General features: G+C 46.9%; 1 protein-coding gene across 5 annotated transcripts in view; it reads right to left on the reverse strand.

Moving 5' to 3' along the window:
* Positions 1-5,904: 5,904 nt before the first annotated feature.
* Positions 5,905-12,013, reverse strand: part of SRSF4 (serine and arginine rich splicing factor 4) — a 34,158-nt gene continuing 28,049 nt past the window's right edge. For 4 of the 5 annotated variants that reach the window (NM_005626.5, XM_047427708.1, XM_047427706.1 and 1 more), the window contains 2 exons: positions 8,265-8,354; positions 5,905-7,388 (listed from right to left, as the gene is read on the reverse strand). In NM_005626.5, the coding sequence (NP_005617.2) occupies positions 6,572-7,388; positions 8,265-8,354 (907 nt within the window). In that variant the 3' untranslated portion in view covers positions 5,905-6,571. The remainder of the gene's footprint in view (positions 7,389-8,264; positions 8,355-12,013) is intronic. The other variant, XM_011541951.4, reaches the window with a different exon arrangement.

Below are 12,013 nucleotides of genomic sequence, written 5' to 3' on the forward strand. Positions count from 1 at the left end.
TGGTCTTGAACTCCTGACCTGGTGATCTGTCCGCCTCAGCCTCCCAAAGTGCTGGGATTACAGGCGTGAGTCACCGCGCCCCAGGCCCTTCCAAGTTTCTTTTGATTATCTTCATGGTATGTCTTTCTCTAGCCCCTTACTTTCGGTCCATGTCTGTGTACAAGTGGGTTTTTACTTTTTAAAAGTAAAACCTTCAGGCCACCATGCCCAGCTAATTTTTTGTGTTTCTAGTAGAGACGGGGTTTCACCGTGTTAGCCAGGATGGTCTTGATCTCCTGACCTCATGATCTGCCCATCTCAGCCTCCCAAAGTGTTGGGATTACAGGTTTGAGCCACCACGCCACGCCGGGTCTTGCTTATCAAAATCTACTCTAGCCAGGCACGGTGGCCCACAGCAGTAATCCCAGCGCTTTGGGAGGCCGAGGCAGGCGGATTAGCTGAGGTCAGGGTTCGAGACCAGCCTGACCAACCTGGTGAAACCCCGTCTCTACTAAAAATACAAAAAAATTAGCTGGGCATGTTGGCAGGCCTCTGTAATCCCAGCTACTTGGGAGGCTGAGGCAAGAGAATTGCTTGAATCCAGGAGGCGGAGGTTGCAGTGAGCCGAGATCCTGCCACTGCACTGCAGGCTGGGAGCGACAGAGCAAGGCTCCAACTCATAAAAACAAACAAACAAACAAAAAACAAACCCTACTCTGACAGTCTTTTATTTAGGCCATTGACATTTAGCCATGAAAGAAATAGCCTAATATTTACATTTGTTACTGTTTTCATTGTTCTTTGTTCCTCTTTTTGTCTTGCATTTTGGGGGCCAGGTGGATAATTATGGGGAGAAGGGTATGTGTAGATTTTGAGCACCCAAAAGGGTAGATTATAGTGGACTTTTGTATTTCTCTGGCTGCTTCCTATTTTTGGGAAATTTCCTATTGTGTACATTTTCACACAAACAGTGCAGTATTAATGCATCGTTTTCCACTGAGGAAATTAAATTGAGCCAACCTCCTTCTCTTCACTCTTCCGGTACTCCCAGGCAGACCTTTGAGTCTTGATCAGATGATGATGTAACAATTAAAACATACTTACAGCAGTGGGCTAGTGGCATTGTTCTGCAGCAACTTGAAGATATTTTTCTTGAAGAAAGCAGACTCTGTCCTGTAGAAATCCTGCCTTGACTTCAATCTGGGTTCAAATCTTAGCTGTTATTAACTCACTTGTAAGACTTCAAATGTCTTCCTGTAACTATCACAAATAATGACATTTTAGGAGAGAATCAGAAAAATCTAGAGATGTATCCCACATTGTCACTAGCGGTGCTACATTGATTAAATAATTTCATTTTTTTTCTTTGAGATGGAGTTTCTCTTATTGCCCAGCTGGAGTGCAATGGTGTGAACTTGGCTCACCGCAACCTCCACCTCCCGGGTTCAAGCTGTTCTCCTGTCTCAGCATCCCGAGTAGCTGGGATTACAGGCATGTGCCACCATGCCTGGCTAATTTTGTATTTCTAGTAGAGACGGGGTTTCTCCATGTTGGTCAGGCTGGTCACGAACTCCTGACCGCAGGTGATCTGCCTGCCTTGGCTTCCCAAAGTGTTGGGATTACAGGCATGAGCCACTGCACCCGGCCACTTTTTGTTTTTTTTGAGAGGGAGTTTCACTCTTGTTGCCCAAGCTGGAGTGCAATGGCGGGATTTCAGCTTACTGCAACCTCCACTTCCCGGATTCAAATGATTATCCTGCTTCAGCTTCCCGAGTAGCTGGGATTACAGGCACCCCGCACCATGCCCAGCTAATTTTTGTATTTTTAGTAGACAGGGTTTCACCATGTTGGCCAAGCTGGTCTTGAACTCCTGACCTCAGGTGATCCACCTTCCTTGGCCTCCCAAAGTGCTGAGATTACAGGCGTGAGCCACCATGCCCGACCAAATCACTTCTTTTTTTTTTTTTTTTGAGACGGAGTCTTGCTCTGTCGCCCAGGCTGGAGTGCATGATGGGTGCCATCTCAGCTCACTGCAAGCTCCGCCTTCTGGGTTCACGCCTTTCTCCTGCCTCAGCCTCCCGAGTAGCTGGGACTACAGGTGCCCGCCACCACGCCCGGCTAATTTTTTTGTATTTTTAGTGGAGACGGGGTTTCACCGTGTTAGCCAGGTTGCTCTCGATGTCTTGACCTTGTGATCCTTCCGCCTCGGCCTTCCAAAGTGCTGAGATTACAGGTGTGAGCCACCGCGCCTGGCCCCAAATCACTCCACTTCTGAGCTTTGGTCTTCATCTTTTAAAATGGGATAATGTAATGTAGATAAAAGCAACTCGCTCATAGTAGGTGCTGGTAGGCAAATGAATCAAATTTAGGGTCTTCCTTTTGGTTACCCAAGGCCTTTCATTGGACTGTGAATGGCTAAGAGGTGGCAGGAGAGTCCCTTGGAATGATTTGCTACACAGTGAGCACTGACTGATGCTCACCAAGCACTATCTGGTTCACAGGTGTTCAGTACTGAGATCATCATGGACTAATCCCTGTGACACCAGTCCTACAAGTAACACATACATTCCATGGGAGGGGAGCCTTGCTGTTCATACTTTATCCCCAGAGGCTAGAACAGTGCTTGGCCTACGCAGAAGGCACTCCAAATGTAAATATAAGGTGGGGCGGGGGGGTGGGACATCATACTAGTCTCATTTGCAATTGGGCCCAGCAATAGTGAACACAAGAAGCTGTGAAAACAAAATGAAAAATGAACATGAAAATACCCAGTGTTCTTTCTCCAGTGCACATTCAGAATTCAATAGATGAGAGTTTCCATCTTTCTTGTTGATTTATCCTCTTTTCATTCAGAATCCAACACAAAAGCATTCAAAAATTGCTGGGAAAAACATGACCAATGGTCCTGTCTGTGTACACATGGAATTTCCTTGCCACTATTAACACAGTGCTGAACTTATTTGGTTAGAATCCATGTGCCTTAAACATTTAATGCTCATGATATCGAGTTTATTAAATTTTCAATATTTTTTTTTTTTTGAGACAGAGTCTCGCTCTGTCGCCCAGGCCAGAGTGCAGTGGTGCGATCTGGGCTCACTGCAAGCTCTGCCTCCCGGGTTCACGCCATTCTCCTGCCTCAGCCTCCTGAGTAGCTGGGACTACAGGCGCCCATCACCACACCCAGCTAATTTTTTGTATTTTTAGTAGAGACGGGGTTTCACCATGTTAGCCAGGATGGTGTCTATCTCCTGACCTCCTGATCCGCCTGCCTCGGCCTCCCAAAGTGCTGGGATTACAGGTGTGAGACACCGGGCCTGGCAAGTTTATTAAATTACATAAACATGCCTGATGCGGCTGCTCACGCCTGTAATCCCAACACTTTGGGAGGCCGAGGCAGGCAGATCACCAGGTCAGGAGTTCGCGACCAGCCTGACCAACATGGTGAAACCCTGTCTCTACTAAAAGTACAAAAATTAGCCGGGCGTGCCGGGCGCGGTGGCTCATGCCTGTAATCCCAGCACTTTGGGAGGCTGAGGCGGGCAGATCACGAGGTCAAGAGATCGAGATCTGCCTGTCCAACAATGGTGAAACCCCATCTCTACTAAAAATACAAAAATTAGCTGGGCGTGGTGGCACGTGCCTGTAGTCCCAGCTACTCAGGAGGCTGACAGGAGAGTCGCTTGATCCCAGGAGGCAGAGGTTGCAGTGAGCTGAGATCGTGCCACTGCACTCCAGCCTGGTGACAGTGCCAGACTCCATCTCAAAACAAAACAAACAAAAAAAACCTGAAAGAAACAAAATGCCGCAACAAACATCCCTATCCTTATAGGGATAAAATCGGAATAATAAATTATCGTCATCACTGGAGACCAGCATGAGATCCTCTGAGGCAGTGGGAATTTTACTGGTTAGGTTCATCACCTTGTCATGATGACACGAGAATGGGCCCAGAAAAAGGTTTGGGAAACTCTCCAGAAACTGAGTGAGGTTCCTTGGTTTGGCTGCCTCGTCTGTTTCTGAAATTACACGTTTTCAAAACTCAACTAATTTCCCCTGTCATCTTCCCCATTCCTCAGATGATGCCTCATCATTCTGTGACTGCTTCCGATAGCTCCTTTGCCAGGACATTTGCCAAGTCTTGCTAATCTTGCCTCTTCTGCTCCCTCCTATCATGGCTTTGATCAAGCAGGCCCCGTATCATCTGGGGTTGCATGCCCTGAACTATTGGGTTCCCTGCATCCAATCCTTCACAATGCTGTCAGGTCTAGAAGCATAACCCTACTCCCCGCACCCTCCTATTCAAATACCTTCAATGTTACCCAGTGCTTACAGGATAAAGGTCAAATTCCTCTTCCTGGTATCCATGGCCCTCTATGACACAATCCATTTTGTTAAACTCTAACTCTCCAGTATCAAACTCCACGTTTCCTGGGCACAGTACCCTGTGCTTTCCCAACTCCATGAAAGCCATGCTCACAGGCTTTCAATAGGAATGCGTCCCACCCTACATCCCCAAAAGGTTCAGCTTAAGTGCTACCTCTGATCCCAGATGAAGTTCTGACTCTGTTCTCTGAATATCCACTTTGCCTTCATCACTAGCAACTAGATCACAAACTCCAGGAGGGCAAGAGACACTCTACTTTCGTATTTCCAATGCATTCGAAGATTTTGGTCTATAGGAAGCAACAGGACAGTTGTTTTAAGCCTAGGGACAGCCCCCAACAAATTCACAGGCAGCAGTCAAGTGAATCTCCTTTCCCAAGATTTTGCTGCAGCATGTAATGAAAGCCCTCAAGCATCCTCCCTGCTGTGATGCCCCTCAACAGTCCCTCAAGGGCTGAGACCAGATTGGAACCACTGTACTTCTGGTACCTCCTAGAGAGCTAGGCCAAACAAGCAGTGGAAGAATAATTAGGACAAAAGTTATCCAGTAGGCCAGGCGCGGTGGCTCATGTCCGTAATCCCAACACTTTGGGAGGCTGAGGTGGGCAGATCACCTCAGGTCAGGAGTTCGAGACCAGCCTGACCAATATGATGAAACCCCGTCTCTACTAAAAATACAAAAATTAGCCGGAAGTGGTGGCATGTACCTATGATCCCAACTACTTGGGAGGCTGACAGGAGAATCACTTGAACCTGGTTGGTGGAGACTGTAGTGAGCTGAGACTGCACCACTGCACTCCAGCCTGGGCAACAAGAGCAAAACTGTCTCAGGAAAAAAAAAAAAAAAAAAGTCCAGTATAGTTTTTTCCCCCTGGTTTTTGATTAGTTCAGATCTTAATGTGATGAGATCATGATACCGCAGATTCATGGCAATTTCGACAAACAGCACAGAACTCTATATTCATGAACAACTCATCTGGTAATGCTCCAAGTTTCCAAACTGATTCATTCTTCATCAGCCTGGCCATACGTTTCTTAAGAGAAAGGATGATAAATTCCTCGGAAACCTGCCTTTATTCTGTTGGTGAGAAAAATCCTTTAGGAACGTGTTGGTTCCCTAAGATGGGTGATCCCAAGGAACAAAACAGTCATTACACATGAACTTTTTTTTTTTTTTTTTTTGAGACGGAGTCTCGCTCTGTCGCCCAGGCTGGAGTACAGTGGCGTGATCTCAGCTCACTGTAACCTCCACCCCTCGGGGTTCAAGCGATTCTCCTGCCTCATTCTCCTGAGTAGCTGGGATTACTGGCGTGTACCACCATGCCTGGCTAATTTTTGTATTTTCAGTAGAGACGGGGTTTCACCATGTTGGTCAGGCTGGTCTCGAACTCCTGACATTGTGATCCGTCTGCCTAAGCCTCACAAACTGTTGGGATTACGGGCGTGAGCCACCGTGCCCGGCCTACACATGAACTTTTTATGCTAAGAAAAGACATATCAAGATATATCAGAAAGTACAACTTCAATTCAAACACCATGAAATTTTGTCAAGCAAAAATAGTCTTTATTCAAATTTAATGGAAACAGGGGTCACTATACTTTGCAAGACGGGGAAAAATAAAATTAAAAAAAATTCTTTTCTTTTCTTTTTTAATATAAAACAATATAATCACAATACCAGAATATGGAACTCTACAGTTTATTTCCTATGGGTTACTGCAGGTATCAATTTTCCTCGACTGTGCTATTCACAACTTTGTTAAGTCCAAAAATATGAAACCAAAGTGGTAGGAAACTTAAGACTTAGCACTTTCACTAAATGGCATACATCGAAGGGCATCAATTCAAGAGCAAAAATGGTTGAACTCACCATACCTACCTATGTGGTCATTCCAGCCTTAGAGCCGTCCAGGTTACTGAGCTCCCTGTAGGAAAGGCCAGGCCTGAAAGCCAAGGCGTTTTGGATATTCTACTGTGGGCCATGAGTAAAAGGGGATTTTCAAAGAGAAAATTTTTTTCAGTCGAGCAGGAAGGCCTGGTGCCAGGAGGCTTTACTGAGAGGAAGCACTTAGATTTAACAATTATAGACACACCATTAGGGGAGTTAAAAATGTACAGCAGTGACATGTTCTACTCCAATCACTTGTGCTACGGCTACCAAACATGTACAAAAGACTTCTCGGGTAGTTCCAGCTGTGGCCATAGCCAGTTAGGACCTTGAGTGGGACCTAGATCTAGATCGGGAGGGCGATCTGGAAGCAGACCTGGATCTAGACTTGGACCGAGATCGGGTTTTTGAAGCTGACTTTGATCTGGAGCGTGATTCTGATGGAAGGTTTGGTTTCGATTTGGAATTGGATCTCGACCTGGACCGGGTCTCCTGATTGGTGCCAGCATTCTCACTCTCTCCTCGACCTTCCCTCTGGCTGGATTCAGACTTGGCATGTTCCCGCTCCTTTGACACGGAGCGGGATGGAGATCTGGACTGGGAGCGGTCAGTGTCTTCCTTCTTCTTCTTCTTGCTGCTGCCCGCCTTGCTGTCTCGCTTGCTGCCTCGCTTTCTGCTCCTCTCACTCTTGCTGCGGCTGCGACTGCGACTGCGGCTCTCCTCTCTGCTTCTCTTCCTGCCCTTCCTCTTGTCCTTGCTCTTGCTGCGGCTCCTGCTCCGGCTCCTGCTGCCCCCTTTGCTCCTGCTCCGGCTCCGACTCTGGCGGAGGCTCTTCTCCTGGCTCCTGCCCCTGCTCACACTCCCTCGCTTCTCCTCCTCCACTCTCCTCTCCTGACTCCTGCTCCGACTTTTGCTCTTACTTTTATGCCTGCTAGGACTCCGGCTCTTGGGTTTCCCGACATTGTCATTGTTTTGGATCTTCTCTTCAGCTTGGTCTTTGCTCTTGCTGCGGCTCTTGCCAGCGCTATGGCTGCGGCTGCGGCTCTTTTCCTTGCTGGGGCTCCTGCTTTTCTCTTTCTTGCTCCGGCTCCGACTCTGGCTCCGGCTCCGGCTCTTGCTCCGGGAGCGGGAGCCCGACCTGAGGAGACATGGGATACTGTTTGTGTCACATGTGACTTCATGCTAATCAGGAGATAAAAAGACCAAAGGGCATACATGTGGAGTTACACCCCCCAATATAAAGCATGGCTGGCACTGGCTGAGGATTGTTTTCTGAACCCTCACAATGCCAATCAGAAGCTGGAAAAACTGGCCAGGTGCGGCGGCTCATGCCCATAATCCCAGCACTTTGAGAGGCCAAGGCAGGCGGATCGCGAGGTCAGGAGTTCAAGAGCCAGCCTGGCCAACATGGTGAAGCCCCGTCTCTACTAAAAATACCAAAAATTAGCCAGGCATGCTGGCACACGCCTGTAAACCGAGCTACTCAGGAGGCTGAGGCAGGAGAATCGCTTGAACCCGTGAGGCAGAGGTTGCAGTGAGCCGAGATCGCGCCACTGCACTCCAGATTGGGCGACAGAGCGAGACTCTGTCTTGAGGGGGGAAAAAAAAAAAAAAAAAGAAAAAGAAGCTGGAAAAGCAGGAAGACTGGTCACATGATTGAAATCCAAGTGAGGCTGGGCACAGTGGCTCATGTCTGTAATCGCAGTAGTCTGGGAGGACTATTTGAGGTCATGAGTTTAAGATTAGCCTGGGCAACATAGTGAGACCCTGTCTCTAAAAAAAATTAAAAAATTAGCTGGGTGTGGTAGTATGTGCCTGTAGTCCCAGCTACTTGGGAGGCTGAGGTGGAAGCTTGCTTGAGCCCAGTGAGGTGAGGCTGCAGTGAGCCATGACTGTACCACTGGACTCCAGCTTGGGTGACAGAGTGTCTCTTTGAAAAAAAAAAGAAAAAAAAGTGAGACAGGGTACAGGCATTCCCTGCTGACCACCTCTACTTATAACATGGAAGACATACCTGGACCGAGATCTACTCTTAGAATGACTGCTTTTGCTGCTGCCACTTCGGCTTCTGCTCTTACGGGAATGTCTGCTTCGAGAGCGAGACCTAGGGGGAGAAAATATTTTTTAATACTTGCTGACAAGAGGCTGCTGATGAGCATCAATCAAGACTATATATATTATATATATATATTTTAGATGGAGTTTCACTCTTGTTGCCCAGGCTGGAGTGCAATGGCGCGATCTCGGCTCACCACAACCTCCACCTCCTGAGTTCAAGCGATTCTCCTGCCTCAGCCTCCCAAGTATCTGGGATTACAGGCATGTGCTACCACGCCTGGCTAATTTTGTATTTTTAGTAGAGACGGGGTTTCTCCATGTTGGTCAGGCTGGTTTCGAACTCCTGACCTCAGGTGATCCACCTGCCTCGACTTCCCAAAATGCCAGGATTACAGGCATGAGCCACCGTACCCGGCCAAGATTTTCAATATGTACAGCACTGGCTGTGTCCAGGCACAAACTCTCTCTTGGGTTCTAGGTCCACAGATGAAGTCACCTGCAAACCTTCCATCTGGATGGTTCACCTGAACCTCTTAGCAGCTCCTGAAATTCTAACTGTCCCCGATGCCGGCTCCTTTTGCTGGGCTCCTTATGTGCACTGATGCCACTGTTATTCATATGGTTCCTCGTAACAGAAATCACAGCCATCCTTGACTCCCCCGTCTTTCCCCTATCCCCTTACACACCCACGATCATGCCTCCTGATCTTCGGTCTTTCTACCTCTGCTGCTGCCTCTCTGGGCAAGCCACCATTATCTCTCCCCTTGTTCAACAACCAGCCTTTCTGTGTATACTTTTCCCCTTTACGATCTATTCAACTCACTGTGACGAGAGCTGTTTTAAAGAGACCGACAATCCAAGCTTTACAAAATTTTTTTAATGCATCCAGACTGTAGATTCTTATTTTCTACCAACCAGGACTCCTTGGGAAAATGACTGACTCCAGGCGTAAAGCAGGAAGTAGTACACAAAGATGGGCCTAGACCATCTCATTATGACAGAAAGAGGGAAACTTTCAAAGCTGCCCAGGCACCATCACCTATGAAGTATTCTTGCTAAAAATGTTTAACCTGCATCTCAATCACACCTCTCCAGACCTAACTTCCAGTATATAGGAAGTTCAGGGGATAAGATACAAGTTCAATGATACTAAGAAGAAACAGATAAATACAGAATGTGAGTATTAAAAAACTAAGAAAAATAAGCCAGGAGTGGTGGCTCACGCCTGTAATCCTAGCTACTTGGGAGGCTGAGGCAGTAGGATAGCTTGAACCTGGGACGCAGAGGCTGCAATGAGCTGAGATGGTGCCACTGCACTCCAGCCTGGGCGACAGAGCAAGAGTCCGTCTCAAACAAACAAAAAAACCCAAACCTAAGCAAAATAAATGTCATGAAGGAACTGCTCCACACTAAAAGCCTGACTACATTAGGTTTTACCTAAAAACCCCTTGTACTACATGACTGGATTAGATCCCGGTTAAGAAAAAACCCAGCTATAAAGACATCCATGGAGTAACTGGGGAAACATGAATATGGCCTGGGCATTTAGTAATTAGATGGAATTACTATTAATGTTCTTAGGTGAAAAAACAGAACTGTGGTTATCCTCATTCTTGGAGACACATGCTGAAGTATTTAGGGGCAAAGTATCATAATTTCTACAACTTACTTTCAAATGCTACAACAAAATAAATGTACAGTGTGCTTGTATAAATACATACATACAAAGAGAGAAAAGGCAAAATGCTATCTGTTAAAGCCAGAGGAGGGTATACAGGTGTTCATTAACTATTCTTTCAACTTTTGTTTGAAGAAACCAATTGCAAAAATACCTATTTGAGACAACTAGGGCAGGGTGCAGTGGCTCACGTCTGTAATCTCAGCACTTTGGGAGGCTGAGGTGGGAGGACCGCTTGAACCCAGGAGTTCAAGACCAGCCTGGGTAACATAGCAAGACTCCATTTCTACAACAAACAAACAACTGAAAAATTGGAATACAACCTAGATATTACATCATAGTATGGAATTATTGCTAATTTTGCTAGCTATGTTATCATGGTTTCTTTTAAAATACTACAGATACATACTGAAGCAGTTGCAGATGGAATGATAGATGTCTAGACTTGCCTTACAACAATGCAGCAGGAGCGGGTGATGTGAAACAAGACTGGCAAAATAAAAACTACAGAAGCTGGAGGAGTGGGAGGTGCAATTCAGAGTTCTCCAATGCTTCATATATAAATTTCAAATTTTCCATAATAAAAAGTCAAAAGACCTAAATAACAAAACCTGAAAAGTCTCCAGTGACTTCTCACTACTCTTCCATTCTTGCTCTGGCCTAATGGTCAGTATATCTGGTCCTTCTCTGCCTTATCTCAAGCCACTCTCCTCCCGTTACCTCTCTATATTAGCTTCTCTACTCTGGAAAACTTTCTCCTGCCCCCAGGCCTTCAGAAACACCCTTTTCTGTTAGATAGATAGGCATTTTCTCGACGGGCACGGTGGCTCAAGACTGTAATCCAAGCACTTTGGAAGGCCGAGGTGGGTGGGTCACCTGAGGTCAGGAGTTCGAGACCAGTCTGCCCAACATGGTGAAACTCTGTCTCTACTAAAATTACAAAAATTAGCCAGGCATGGTGGTGTGCACCTGTGATCCCAGCTACTCAGGAGGCTGAGGCAGGAGAATCGCTTGAACCCGGGAGGTGGAAGTTGCAGTAAGCCGAGATTGTGCCACTACACTCCAGCCTGGGTGACAGAGTGAAAGAAACTCCGTCTCAAAAAAAAAAAAAGAAAGAAAGAAAGGCATTTTCTTCTGCTCACCATCTCTCTGCCTTATTCATTAGGGCTCAGTTCTACAGCATGTCCTTAGGGAAGCTGTTGCCAGCTCTCTAGACTAGTTGTGCTGTGTGCATTTTCTTGTCACAATAGCACGGTTTATTCAATACTCATCTTCTACGCTAGACTGAGTTTCAGGGGGGCAAGGACCATATTTGTCTTTTTTTTGAGACAGAGTCTCTTTCTGTCGCCCAGGCTGGAGTATAGTGGAGTGATCTCTGCTCACTGCAACCCCTGCCTCCTGGGTTCCGGTTTAAGCGATTCTCCTGCCTCAGCCTCCCTAGTAGCTGGGACCACAGGCGTGTGCCATCATGCCTGGCTAATTTTTTTTTACTTTTGTATTTTTAGTAGAGATGGGGTTTCATCACGTTGGCCAGGCTGGTCTTGAACTCCTGACCTCAGGTGATCCACTCGCCTCAGCCTCCCAAAGTGCTGGGATTACAGGTGTAAGCCACCGCGTCTGGCCATTTGTCTTCTTTACAAAGCCTTTCCAATGCTTAGCCCAGTGCCTGGCCTGTTCAGGTGCTAAGTAAGACAAAATTGCCATGTGTGCCATCAACCAAGGTAGTAGGATCTAGGGGTCCCAAGAAGAAATGTGAAAGGTGGCCTCTGATTTCCATTTTTTTTTTTTTTTTTGAGACGGTGTTTTGCTCTTGTTGCCCAGGCTAGAGTGCAACGGTGCGCTTGGCTCACCACAACCTCCGCCTCCCAGGTTCAAGCAATTCTCCTGCCTCAGCCTCCCGAGTAGCTGGGATTACAGGCATGCACCACCAACGCCTAGCTAATTTTTTTGTATTTTTTCAGTAGAGACGGGGTTTCTCCATATTGAGGCTGGTCTCGAACTCCTGACCTCAGGTGATCTGCCCGCCT

This window comes from Homo sapiens, chromosome 1 (assembly GCF_000001405.40).
Source record: "Homo sapiens chromosome 1, GRCh38.p14 Primary Assembly".
Classification (NCBI taxonomy): Eukaryota; Metazoa; Chordata; class Mammalia; order Primates; family Hominidae; genus Homo; species Homo sapiens.